The sequence below is a fragment of the Homo sapiens genome, chromosome 2 (genome assembly GCF_000001405.40).
Source record: "Homo sapiens chromosome 2, GRCh38.p14 Primary Assembly".
Lineage (NCBI taxonomy): Eukaryota > Metazoa > Chordata > Mammalia > Primates > Hominidae > Homo > Homo sapiens.
In genome coordinates, this window is record NC_000002.12 from 55,044,510 (window position 1) to 55,058,198 (window position 13,689).

The 13,689-nt window shown below is 41.6% G+C and overlaps 1 protein-coding gene across 12 annotated transcripts in view, besides 5 other annotated features; it reads right to left on the bottom strand.

Moving 5' to 3' along the window:
- Positions 1 to 13,689, bottom strand: part of RTN4 (reticulon 4) — a 165,643-nt gene that overhangs the window by 72,321 nt on the left and 79,633 nt on the right. For 3 of the 12 annotated variants that reach the window (NM_153828.3, NM_207520.2, NM_020532.5), the window contains exon 1: positions 5,236 to 5,942. The exons of 1 other annotated variant lie outside the window; for it this stretch is intronic. In NM_153828.3, the coding sequence (NP_722550.1) occupies positions 5,236 to 5,791 (556 nt within the window). In that variant the 5' untranslated portion in view covers positions 5,792 to 5,942. Of the gene's footprint in view, positions 1 to 2,306; positions 2,818 to 4,036; positions 4,158 to 4,569; positions 4,648 to 5,048; positions 5,183 to 5,235; positions 6,090 to 6,207; positions 6,764 to 13,689 lie in introns of those variants that run through there. 8 more of the 12 variants (NR_135829.2, NM_001321861.2, NR_135830.2 and 5 more) reach the window with 6 other exon arrangements.
- Positions 4,948 to 5,760: an enhancer, noted in NCBI's record as "NANOG-H3K27ac-H3K4me1 hESC enhancer chr2:55276593-55277405 (GRCh37/hg19 assembly coordinates)". NCBI's record gives its function as "activates a minimal SCP1, AML or CMV promoter by ChIP-STARR-seq in primed H9 embryonic stem cells {active_cell/tissue: H9 hESC(primed)}" and the evidence as "EXISTENCE:reporter gene assay evidence [ECO:0000049][PMID:30033119]".
- Positions 4,948 to 5,772: a biological region, named in NCBI's record as "NANOG-H3K27ac-H3K4me1 hESC enhancer GRCh37_chr2:55276593-55277405".
- Positions 5,263 to 5,382: a silencer, noted in NCBI's record as "silent region_11494". NCBI's record gives its function as "represses an Ori minimal core promoter by ATAC-STARR-seq in GM12878 lymphoblastoid cells {active_cell/tissue: GM12878}" and the evidence as "EXISTENCE:reporter gene assay evidence [ECO:0000049][PMID:35858748]".
- Positions 5,523 to 5,582: a silencer, noted in NCBI's record as "silent region_11495". NCBI's record gives its function as "represses an Ori minimal core promoter by ATAC-STARR-seq in GM12878 lymphoblastoid cells {active_cell/tissue: GM12878}" and the evidence as "EXISTENCE:reporter gene assay evidence [ECO:0000049][PMID:35858748]".
- Positions 5,723 to 5,772: an enhancer, noted in NCBI's record as "active region_15773". NCBI's record gives its function as "activates an Ori minimal core promoter by ATAC-STARR-seq in GM12878 lymphoblastoid cells {active_cell/tissue: GM12878}" and the evidence as "EXISTENCE:reporter gene assay evidence [ECO:0000049][PMID:35858748]".

Here is a 13,689-nt window from a genome sequence, read left to right on the forward strand (position 1 = left end):
AGACCAGCCTGGACAAAAGTGAGACCATTGTTTTTTGGTTTTTAGATTTTTAAAAAGAAAATAACTACACATAAAACAAAGCCAATTAATGGACAATAGGTAACATGCTCCTTTTCAGAAATGTTTTTATAACATGGCAAATCCTTTAAGTTTACAATAATATAGCACTAAAATAGCATGTTTTCTAAACACTATTCCATGCAGTTATTTATCAGTGGTTCCACATATACCCATCACTTCATTTTAAAAAGGATTTGAGAGAGTTTGCAAATCACTAAAAAAAAAAAAAAAAAAAAAAAAAGACCACAAATTTGACACTCAGTTGCCCAGGAACCAATCTGAAACATAATTCACCATATCCATGAGGAGTATACTACTTATTCCCAACTTTTAAAAATAAGAAATGGCTTAACCAGAAATTATTCAGAATCACAAAAATGAAAGTGGGGAATGGACAGGGCATGACTTTCTTGTGTTTAGAAGCATCCACTTCCTGGGAACTTGGACTTTATATTAAGAACTGATACCTAATATTTAAACCATATGTCACTCAAAATCTTAAAATTTCTAATACATGCTACTACGCCAATAAAAATGATCATATAATAAATGGCTTCATGATAGTAAAAACTAGTAATTTTTAAGCCCCAACCCATAATCTGTATTTATGAGCAATATTCAATTTTATACAAATTTTCATGGCAATTAAATTTTGGCAGTCTCTGAAACTGATTTAATAAGCACTAATATTCTTTTCTTTGTCTTTACATTCATGGTTTCCAAGTCCTATCAATTCGTCTTTCATACAGCCTCTTCGTAAACTAACTATAAAAACAGATTCACAGCCAATTAAAGAAAGCGTGCTTCTTATACTCTTATATTCCTCCCTTCTATTCCATTTTCACTGAATGAACAAATAATGAAATAGTTCAGGCCCTACTCATCTTTCTCAGAACTACTGTAATAGCTTTCTAAATAATTCATCTGCTTTTCCTTCCCACCTATCTTGAATATTGTCACCAATTTTCTAATACTGCTTTCACGGTGCCTTGCCTCAGTTCAAATAACCTTCAATGGCTGTCTTCCCAAAGCCAAAAGCTCTAATTCGAGAAGGGGTGAAAAACAATAACTTTAGAAACAACAATTAAAAAAAACAATTTTGGTTTCATAATATAAATTACCAAAAGCAAGGGCAACTGGATAGCAGAGCATGGATTAAAGTGGAATGATAAAATCCAAATTCCTTAATTTGGCATTCAGTATCTTTCAGAATCCAGATCTACATATTTTCGGTCTTAATTAACCTTGGTTTAGAACATGTCCAGAGACCAGTTCGAAGTCACCCTTAATTATGTTTGCACTGCTCTCAAATCGATTTCTAGCCAGAGTTTTCTGCGCATATCCTCAAAGCCTAACTTAACCAACCACTAAGCCAAGTATTTTCCCATGAAAAATGGCCCTCAAGTGAGAGGTTTTAGTCTCACTTCAGTTACTGCATTGCGATGGAGATGCTCTGGGCACAACAGCAAACAGTAAAATTACAACTTATTAACAGATGAAAATCAGGGCTTACTCATAAATAACGTAAACAGCAATGTTAAACAGACAAGTGTCAGTGATCTAGAAACCCTCTCTTCCAGGCAGGCTAGTCTATGCTTCTAACCCTGCTCTGCACATTTCTCACCTTTGTCTCACATCAGTCCTCTCAGTAGCCCTGAATCTTCCAAACTTATTTTAGTTCCAAAATCACAATATAATTATTTAATAAGCATATTTTTATTTTTTTAAAAAGCTAAACATTTTTACCATTGCCTGTTAGAGACCCCCAATGATCTGGGTGGGTAAGGCCACCTCTTCACTCTCCCACTAGTTTTTCTCACTAGTCTTACACTAGATTCTCAGACACAAAGAGCTCATTCCTGCCTCAGGGTTTTGCCCTGAAGTTGCTTGGAAATGTTTTCTCTCTGCAGCTCAAATCTCACCTTCTAAGCCTGTCTTAGTGTCACCTAACCTAAAAAAGCCCCCATAAATCCCCATCATTCTCTATGCCATTATCCTGTTTATTTTCCTCATAACACCACTATTCTGGGTTCTTTATTTATGTGCTTATTATCTGTACTCTCCCAAGGGGGAGCATGTGTCTTGCTTATTGCTATACCCTCAAAGCTTAGAATAGATCCTGTCTCTTGGTAGGTAATCAATAATGGGTTGAATTAATGAACAAACTCTTGAATGCATTAAGAAATCCAGACACATTGAAAATGGTTAACTATCCACAACCATAATCACAATGTTCTTACACTTACTAAAAAAACTAAAGTTTCCCAATAGGTATCATCAATATGGAATTAGGGAACTCTGTAGAACAGGCAATATTCTTTCCCCATTGCCTTCCAACCTCAGCATTCCAACACACAAGATTCCAAGAGAGTGCTGTCACCCCCTGAATCCCTAATGTTCAAAGACAGAACTATTTTCTTTGTTCCCATACCAATACAAGATTAGTATGCTTTTGTCAATCATTAAACTTCCTGTGGCCAGGCGCAGTGGCTCATGCCTGTAATCCCAACACTTTGGGAGGCCAAGGTGGGTGGATCACTGGAGGTCAGGAGTTCAAGACCACCAGCCTGGCCAACATGGTAAAATCCCGTCTCTACTAAAAATACAAAAATTAGCCAGGCGTGGTGGCAGGCGCCTGTAATCCCAGCTACTCGGGAGGCTGAGGCAGGAGAATCACTTGAACCTGGGAGGCGGAGGTTGCAGTGAGCCAAGATTGCGTCATTGCACTCCAGCCTGGTGACAAGGGGGAGACTATCTCAAAAAAAAAAAAAAAAAATTCCTGTTTAAAAATATATTTCATATTTTTCTCTTACCTCAGTTTCCCTCAAGTATGTCTTTTTCATAAAGAAAAAGGAAAAGATTGAGTTACTCCTCATCTTCTAAGACCTTTAATATGGCAATTAGTGTTTTGAGTAGTATGGGGGTGAGGAGTCCGTCAACATCAAAATATTACTAAAAAGCATCGCAATTGGCTTATTTTCCCCCATTATGGAGAAGTGAATTGAGAAAAAAAAAAATCAGACTGATTTTCTTTTAAGAAATGAATCACCTCTAACATCCTACAAGGCTATGAAGATTTCCAAGCAGGCAGTTACACTACTTGATTCTTGACCTTTTATACATAAAGGTCCTACTGCTAGTGGGACACTTTCTGTCCCCGAAGTAGCAAGTACTTATGAATGTATCTAATATTATGCATTCTCAATCTCTAACAAACGTGATTTTTTTCGCTTCCAAAATAATTTCCCAAGATGAAAACGGCAATAAAACAACGTGACTAATAATAACATACAATCAGGAACTTAGGTGAATGAAAGAACTTGAAAACTATTTTACAGACCATACATAGTCATGCCTCGCTGAACAGGGGGAACAGGATCTGAGAAATGTATTGTTAGGCAATTCTGTCGTTGTGCAAACCTCACAGTATACTTACAGAAACCTAGATGGTAGAGCCTACTACATACCTATATGTAGGCTATATGGTATAATCAATTGCTCCTAGGCTACTAACCTATACAGGATGTTACTGTAGGCAACTGTAACACAATGGTATTTGTGTAGTGTTTATCTAAACATACCTAAAATAACACTGTACAAAGGATTAAAAGATGGCACACGTGTGCAGGGCACTGGCCATGAACAGAGCTTGCCAGCCTGGAAGCTGCTGTGGACGTGAGTAGTGAGTGAATGTGAAGGCCTAGGACATTACCATGTACTACTGTACAACTTACAGACACTCTACGGTTAGGCTACACTAAATTTATCTTTAGATATATTTTTTCAATAATAAATCAACCTTAGCTTACTGTATCTTTTCTATTTTATAAACTTTTTGGCTCTTTTGTAATAACGTTTAACTTAAAACACAAACACATTTTAAAGCTATAGAAAAGAAATTTTATATTCTTATTCTATAAGCTTTTTTCTATTTTTTTTTTAACTTTTGTTAAAAACTAAGATACAAACGCATTACCCTAGGCCTACACAGGGTCAAGATCAAGACGTCGCTAGGCGGCAGGAATTTTTCAGCTCCATTACAACCTTATGGAGCCACCGTTGCAAATGCGGTCTGTCCTTGACCTAAACGTCGTTATGAGGCACGTGACCGTATTTTGATTCTGTAACCTAAAACATATCCTTCTGAAAAACAGTATTTCTAACCAATATATATGAAAATGTCTGTCTCAAAACATTTCTCTGTGTCTCATGGTAAATCTGCCACGAGTTCAATTAGCCAATTCCTGGCAAGGAATCCACAGGTTTTCCCTTCTTTAGGAATGTCAACCATTTTGCCTTTTATTTTTTTCTGTAAGATTCAATTATGATGCACTAAGAGGCTGGGCCAAGTCCACACTAACAGCAATTCCTCCGACCCTGCAGCTGAAACCCCGGCAGAACTACGCCCCCTCGAACACAATGCCTAGATCCCCTTTCCCTGGCTCGGTTTAGCTGGTGGGGAGCAGTCCACATCACACCCCGGGGAGCTGGGCGGTGGCAGGACTTTACCAGAACTCTCTCCTTCCCATTTCTCCACGCACCACACCACTGGAGGCGCTCTCCCTTCACTGCGGTTGGGTCAATGTGGACGTTTTCCACTCGGCCAGCTCCCCACGAGCACAGGAGGAGGGGGAGGGGAAGCGCAAAGGGGCCACCCACGCCAGCCAGGAGGTGAGGAGGGAGCCCGGGGCAGAATGCAGGCCAACAGACCCGCAGCAAAACTGCACCTTTTCCAAAGGAGCAACCCAGACGGGTAGACAAAAGCACCTCCTAAAAATATCTGGGTGCCAAGGCCTTTCCTTCCTCACCTCGAAGCCCAACCAACCCGATAAATCCACAACCCTGGCTCTCGGGTATATACCCGGCTCCTACTACGGGTGGGTGCCTAACTTCCGAGAATCCGTACGCTGGGCATCACACAGGGTGAAAGTGGGAGCCGGGAGCGGTGCACGTGTTCCCCGAAACCAAGACGGACAATAAGAACAAACCCGGGCTCCAAGGGCCGCCCCACCCTTCTCCCCGCGCTTCCAACCAGACGGGGCGCCATCGCCCCGAAGTCCGCAGACAAAGCGCCCTCGGGGCGGAGAGGAGGGACCAGCCCAAAGCATCTGGGGCTGCACACAAAAGAGGGAGGGGCGCGAGGGGCGGCGCGAAGCGAGAGGTCGCGGCACTCACCCACTGAGCCCGAGGAGCCCCTGCGCTTGGGCGCGGCCGGGGTGGAGGGGGGCGCGGCGGGAGCCGGGGCTGGCGGGGTCCACACGGGCTCTGCCTGGGGGCTCACGCTGGCCGGGGGAGGAGGGGGAGGCCGGGCCGGAGGCTCGTCGTCCTCAGGGAGCTTGGAGGGCGAGACTGCGGCAGCAGACAGCGGGGATGGCGCGGGCACGGTCGACGACACCGGGCTCGGGTCCCAAGACGGCTGCCGCTCCGGGGCGACGGGGGGAGCGGCCGGCAGGGGTCCCCGGGGCGCCGGCGGCACGAAGTCATTTCCGAAGTCCATCAGGGGCGCGCCGGCGGCAGGGGCGGTGGGCACTGGGGCCGCGGACAGCCCGGCGGCGGGCTTCCTCTCCAGCACCTCCAGCTCCTCCAGGTCTTCGTCCTCGTCCTCCTCTTCCTCCTCCTCTTCTTCCTCCTCGTCCTCGGGCTCCCTCACGAACTGGTACTTGAACGCGGGCTGCGGCCGGGGTGGGCTGTCCGAGGACGAGACCAGAGGAGACTGGTCCAGGTCTTCCATGGCTGGAGGGTGGAGATGATGCTGCAGCTGCTGCCGCCGCCGCCGGGGCCGCGTCTCAGAGCCGCGGGCGGTTGTGGGGGTTGGGGAGGACTGAGAGGGGCTGGGCCGACTGAGCCGAGGGACCTACTGTGGTGACGGCTCCCGGAACAATGAGACTGCTCCTCCTGCCTCCGCGCCGGTGATGCGCCACCCGCCCTGTCCCCACTTGCCGCCGCCGCCCAGATGAGCTAGGAGTGAGGCCAGCGGACTCTCCGCCCAGTTTGGCGTGACTCACCCTCCCCAGGGGAGGGCAGGGACTGGCGCGGGAGGGAGAGAGCCAATCGGCTACAGGATCGAGAAGATAGGCGACCAGCCGGGCCAACAGAAAGGGAAGGAGATGAAAGTGGGTGGGGACTACGGCACTTCCTCTCTCTTACCGGCTGGGATTGCGTTCAATGGGCGGGGCTGAGAGCTGGGAGCTCCACCCCCACTTTGGGTAACCGTGAGTTGGGGTGGGGTCTTGGCCTTGCCCGCAGCTGGCGTCCGTATGTCGTTAGAGCACTGGGAAAGGGGGCGGGCTGCTGGCTGGGAGGGGTCGGCGCGGTTTCTGGCGCGCCACCGGAAGGGCGTTATCCTGGGGGAACTGAGAGTGGAAACTTTCCTCCCGGGAAAGGAAGAAACCCGACTGGAGAAAGGTATTAGCGGGACTGGGAAGTGGGCCCTAAGGATTTTTAAAGATTTTTGAAATAAAAGATTATTTGTTCACTCAAAGTTCCAAACTACATCACTACTACTACCACCCTAAAATAAGAAAAAAATTGTTTTTTGACAGTTAGGCTCACTCAGTCTAAACCGCAGCCCCCGAAATTGGGAGGAAAACAGCTGTGCTGAATTAACTAGGGATCTGGGGCCGACCATTTGAAAGTCTGCTCTTCTTCCAAAGAGAGTTTGGGGCCTTGCCTGCTGGACTCTTACATGGTAAGAGAGTGAGTCACCCAAAGAGAGAGGCAGCGGGGAGACAGGAAAGTGGAAATACAAAGATGCCTTGGAAAGCTAATTTGGTTCACGTTACATTTCAGTCACCTTAGGTTCATGAGTCAACATTTCGGATGATTCAGGCTTTCTGGGAGTCAGGAAGCCCCATAGTCATTGGTTTGATATGCAGGAATAAGCATGATCCCCATTCCACTTTTTATGAGGCTGGAGAGTTTAAAGAGAGTAGTTGCAGAACATCTTTGTAAGAATCAGGATCCTTTTATCTTTCTGATTTACCTTTCAAAAATATTCACTGCATGCCTACTCTGGAGGCCCTGGAGAGAAGAGGATAACCTGCTTTCAAGTTGCTCAAAGTCTAAATCTGTGCTGTACCTGACAGGTACTGGCTACTTGTGGCTACTGATTGAACACTCGGAATGTATGTAGCTAGGCTGAAATTAGATGTGCTGTAAGTGTAAAATGCGCACTGGATTTCAAGAATTAGTACCTCCGAAATGTAAAATATCTCAGCTTTCCTGTTGACTGAATGTTGAAATTGATATTTTGGATATATTGGGATAAGTATAATATTATTAAATTAATTTTACTTGTTCCTTTTAAAGCAGCTTCTAGAGTTTTTTAAATACATAATGGCTCACATTATATTTCTTTTGGACAGTGCTAGTCTAGATTAATAATTAAGAAAGTTTGATTGCCATGGGGAATCACTGGCAAATTCTTAGCTCCAACTAATTTATATTACTGTGGCTTAATTTGGGTATTAAAAAAGAAAAGTAAGAGTTGGAGGGAGGGATAAATAGGTGGAACACAGAAGATTTTGGGGGCAGTGAAACTGTTCTGTATTATCCTGTAATGGTGGATACATAACATTATGCATTTGACAAAACCCACAGGACTATACAACAGAAAGAGTGAACCCTAATGTAGACTATTGACTTTAGTTAATGATATATCAATATCAGTTCATCAGTTGTAACAAATGTACCACCTCAATGCGTTATGTTAATAATAATAGAGGAAACTGTGGTTAGGGGGCAGGAGTGAGAGTGTATGGGAACTCTGTACTTCCTGTTCAACTTTTCTGTAAACCTAAAACTGCTCTAAGAAATAAAGTTTATGAACCTTTAAAAAAGGAAAAGAATAAAGATTTCCTGGCAATGTTACTTGATTGGGTTAATTATCAACAATATATTCAAGACCTATCACATTAATTCCACGGAGAACTGGCTTTATTTGTGCAAAACGTTTGTGACTTGCTTTGAGTTTGGTGTTATTTTTTGGAGGGGTTGGGAAGAGTAGGAAGAGAGATGTATTGATGTAGAATTTTGGGGCGGGAAGTTAATGCCAAATGAATTTAAACAAAACAAATTTCTACAATGGTGACTACAAGAGACATATTTGAAGTCTTTGTCAAATATTTATCAAAAATTATAAAAAATTTGCCTGATTTTCAACCAATTGCATAAACATACAAAAATATACTAACAGTATTTTATGATACGACCTTTTCTATTGTCACAGTTTAGCTATCAGCAGTCTTCCCCGCATGCTTTTCCCACTATGACTGTTCTGAAATTCCTTAATGATAAGTTTCACAGGGCCTTTATGTATGTCTAATATAAACAGGACTTACGTTATTTGCAAGTTGTTTATATGATATTTCTGCATTCATATATCCCTGTACCTACTACTACTAAAATAGTCTCAAAGGAGTATCTTTAATCAAAGTTTCACAAAAGAATAATTATAAATAGTAGATTTACAATTTTAATAGGAAATAGCAGTTAATATTGATGCAATAATATAAGCACTATCTGGTGCAGAATAAAAATAAATTTTATTAATCTCAGTGACTTCTAAAAAAATAAGTATTTGATAGATAGATGAGTAAAGAGTTTGCCCAGCTTTCATAGAATGATCAACAAAGCAAAAAGAAAGGAGGCTGTTGCTGCTCTACCACAATTAAAAGTAAAGCTAGTTATACATTGTTGTAACTAGATGTAAATATCACTATCACTAACAAAATTCTGGTGGACATTTGAACCAGTTAAAAGAAAAATGCACATTCTAGATACTAATAATAGTTTTAAAATAATTATTCAATAATTTATATTTGAAAATAGCTTATCAGACGGGCACCGTGACTCATGCCTATAATCCCCGCACTTTGGGTGGCTGAGGCGGGTAGATCTCTTGAGGTCAGGAGTTTGAGACCAGCCTGGCCAACATGGTGAAACCCCATCTCTACTAAAAATACCAAATTAGCAGGGCATGGTGGTGCACACCTGTAACCCCAGCTACTTGGGAGGCTGAGGCAGGAGAATTGCTTGGACCTGAGAGGCAGGGGTTGCAGTGAGCCAAGATCATGCCATTGCACTACAGCCTGGGTGAAAAGAGCGAAACTCCATCTCAAAAAAAAACAAAAAAAAAAAGAAACAAAGAAAAGAAAATACCTCATCAGAAGTAGAAGATTAAAGTTTTCAGATACCACTGGTTAGTAGCTGTTCTCTCTGAGAACACTACAAGAGATCCAGCCTGCTAGAATCATAGAATCTTAGGGTTGGGAGAACTTTGGGAGGTCAGCTTAACCAATCTCTCTTCCATTATCATGGTCTCACTTATAAGCAAGAGCTAAATAAAGTGTACATATGGACATAGAGTTTGGAATGATAGTGGAGACTCAGAAGACTGGAGAGAAGGAGAAGGGATGATGAGAAATTCCTTATTGGTACAATGTACATTATTAGGGTGATGGATACACTAAAAGGGTGACCACTATGCAATCAATACATGCAAAAAAATTACACTTGTACCCATAAATTTATACAAATAAAAAATTTAAATAAAAAAATTCTTAAGAGTACCAAAATGATGTTTCAGTCTCTTTTAAATAGAAAGATTGAATGTAATTCAGAGGTGCTCTTGAACACAGGCCAGTCATTTTCAGTAGGTGAAAAAGCTGTGGTTGACTGCTCTTGAAACAGGTGTGTCTGTAATCCACCTCTCATCTTTCTTATCTTGCTTAACCATCCCTTTTGTGCTTTCACTTTATACTTTTTAATAAGAGAAATATTTGTTGGGTATACAGTCTGCACCAGGCCCTGCTCAAGACTTTGAAGAATACAGCACTACGCCAGACACAAACGTGCTTGCATGTTTTCAGTAAGAGACCTATTACTTGGGGAAATCACCCCTTCCATTTCTATAGTATTATACCTTATTTGCAGAATGCTAAATTGACACCTAAACTGGTATTTGTAGAACAAGTTAATTGTCCTTGAATTATGTATGCCCCTCAAAAGAGTTAAAAGGCGTAGGATGGGTATACTCTTGCCTACATATAGCAGGACGTGAACACCAGAGTGGGTTCGGTAAGAGAAGAAAGATGAGAGGTGGATTGTAGAGAAACCTGTTTCAAGAGCAGTCAACCACAGCTTTTTCACCTCTGAAAATGACTTGCCTGTGTTCAGGAGCGCCACTGAATGACATCTGACCTTTCTATGTAAAAAAGACTGAAATATCATTTTGGCACCCTTAAGTGAAAAATTAACAGCGTGCTAAGTTGTTGTCCCTATCATTTTGCTGGGATTTTAGATTTTATGAAATGTACCATTTTGTGAAATGCAGTTCATGGTTCTGTTCAACATCTTAACATATTAAATCCATTCTGTAATAAGAATAGAAATATAAATGTAAGATCAACTTCTTCAGTCATGTTAGTTAAGCATTGACAGTTAGTGTTGGATCTAAAATAAAAATGTTAAGTCCCAAAAAGAAATCCCATAATAAGCAAGTGAAAGTCATAATTAAAACTGAACCAAATCTTTCTCCTTTAACTGTTTTCGGTCCCCTGCATTATTAGAAATTAGGCTATTTGAATATGCATTGTTTCCCTGGAGAAATTTATTTTGATCTAGCAAAAAAATTATTTCAGATACGAGAAAGTTAATTTTGATCTACTAGTACAAAACCAAGCAGAAGACATCCTATGCTGTCTTAGACAAATAAAAATGTGTCCTCATATGAAGAAAGAAGGCAGAAAAGAGTCCACAAAATTTAACAACTCATTCTAATATATAACTTATTATTTTTAATACTTAAAGGTTGAAGTGTAAGTTCTGTTATTTAATCTTCAATGGAGATAGATAGAAACCAAGTGGTCACTGTCTTTAAACATTGTTCATTGATTCAACTAAAACCAACTGACCTTGGCCGGGCGCGGTGGCTCACGCCTGTAATCCCAGCACTTTGGGAGGCCAAGGCAGGCGGATCACGAGGTCAGGAGATCAGGATGATCCTGGCTAACATGGTGAAACCCCGTCTCTACTAAAAATACAAAAAAAAATTAGCCAGGCGTGGTGGCGGGCGCCTGTAGTCCCAGCTACTCGGGAGGCTGAGGCAGGAGAATGGCGTGAACCTGGGAGGCAGCGCTTGCAGTGAGCAGAGATCGCGCCACTGCACTCCAGCCTGGGCAACAGAGCGAGACTCCGTCTCAAAAAAAAAAACAAAAAAAACAAAAACAAAAACCTACTGACCATCTAGGCTCTGGTGATAAATAATAGATAAAACACATTTCCTAATGTCAAAGAATGCATAGTCTAGTTTACATAAGAATGTATATCTATAAATATGTGTATATATAGATGTATACATGTATATACATATATGTAGATGATATAGATTTATGTATCTATATATACATATATGTGTTTGTGTGTGTGTGTGTGTGTATATATATATATATATCTGTACACACACAGTAGTTCCACTTAATCCATGCTTTCACTTTCCGTGGTCTTAGTTACCCTCAGTCAGCTGCAGTTCAAAAATATTAAAATGAAAACTCCAAAAATAAACAATTCATAAGTTTTAAATTGTGTTCTGTTCTGAGTAGCATGATGAAATCTCAAGCAGTCCCCTTCTGTCCCTCAAGGGAGGTGAATCATCCCTTTGTCCAGTGATCACACTATCTACGCTCCCTGCCCTCCCCTCGTGATAGTCACTTAGCAGCCATCCCTGGGATCAGATCGGCTGTCATGGTATCACAGTGCTGCATTCAGGTAACCCTTATTTTACGTAATAATGGCCCCAGAGTATGAGGGTAAGGACGCTGGCAATCTGGATATGCCAAAGAGAAGTCATAAAGTGCTTCCTTTACATGAAAAGGTGAGCCGGCTGTGGTGGCTCGTACCTGTAATTCCACACTTTGAGAGGCGAAGGTGGGCAAATCACTTGAGGTCAGGAGTTCGGGACCAGCTTGGGCAACATGGCGAACCTGATTTCTACAAAAAATACAAAAATTAGCTGGGCGTGATGGAGTGTGTCACCCAAACTGGGTGACAGAGCAAGACCCCATTTCAAAAAAAAAAAAGTCAGGTAGAAGTGAAACTTCTCTGGATATCCTCTTTCTGTAGTTTTGACCTTCAAATTATGTAACTGTATTGCCTATTTAAAAAGTATTTAATTTAGAAATTATTGTTGAAATAAGTTCCCAATATAGTGATTATGTGTTCTGCATCACAACTCAGGATGCCCACTCTGTTTATTAAAGCAGAGTAAAAAACACAGGTCGGAATTTTAAAACTCAGGCCTATGTAACAAAGCCAGAAATTTTACAATGGAGAATCAGAGGTTATGCAATAAGATATAATTCCTAGGTTTAGGTAGTAGGCTTGATCTCAAAATAAGGCTTGTTATCCAGAAAGTAACCCAACCCCCTTCATAGACCTCTTTGGGATGCTTTGAAAACTTCTGACCCCAGAAAAAATGCACAAACACAAAACATAATTTTTCAATGGTTCATGCATGTTTCAAAGCCCATCCATGGATGTCAATAAATTTAGCTGCCAATACATTTACATTGCTCTCCTATTTAACTGGAGATGAATTTACATACCTGAAACAACTAAATAACCATACAGTGGTATTAAATATCTGCATAGCTTAGCAAGAAAGCCAAATAGGGAAGAAATCAGTGGGTCTGATATGATGTATGCGGATTTTTTGGAGGAGCTGAGAAATGACCTCACTCTCAAAATAGTAGGATTCGGAGGCATAGAAGGTACAGAAAATAGAGCATAGGCATTTGAGAAGAGAGCAAAGTATATATGGGAACCATAGGACACAGGTCTAATTGAAGTAAGGATTTGTGTTAGCAAATTGTATAAGGAAAGCACCTAGCACAGAGTCAGGCACTTGGGTACTCAATCAATAGTAATTATTATTATTATTGCTACTATTAGAGCAGAATAAGGTCACATAGCTAAGGTGAAGCCATGTTCTAAAGGACCTTGAAAGTCACAAAAGCAATTAAGACTTGATAAGTCACTCTATTTTTGAGCAGAAGAACTTGATTGAGCAAACTATTTGGAACATGTGAAGAATGCGTTTGAGAAAGCGAAAAGAGGATGGGTACTAAGAGTAGTTCACCCAGGCCTGGTGGTTCACGCCTATAATCCCAGCACCTAGGGAGGCCAAAGCAGAGGCTTGCTTGAGGCCAGTAGTTTGAGAACAGCCTGGGCAACATAGCAAAAACCTATCTCTACAAAAAATAAAAAATTAGCTGGGTGTGATTGTGCATGCATGTGGTTCTAGCTACTTGGGAGGCTAAGACGGGAGGATCGCTTGAGCCAAGGAGGTCAAGGTTACAGTAAGGCATGATTGTACCATTGCCCTCCAGCTTGGGCAACAGAGCAAAATCCTATCTCAAAAATAAAATAAATAAATAATAGAGTAGTTCAGTGGGTTTTGATCACAAAGCTAAAGAGAACTAAAACTAGGATGGTGGGACTGGAAATAAAGGACCTATTTGAGGGACTTTAAAAACTGGAGAGGCCTCAGGGACTGATTCATGATCTACAAGGGATAAAGGAGAGGGAAAAGTTGGAGGGAATATTTTTAAATTTACATTATTATTATCATTT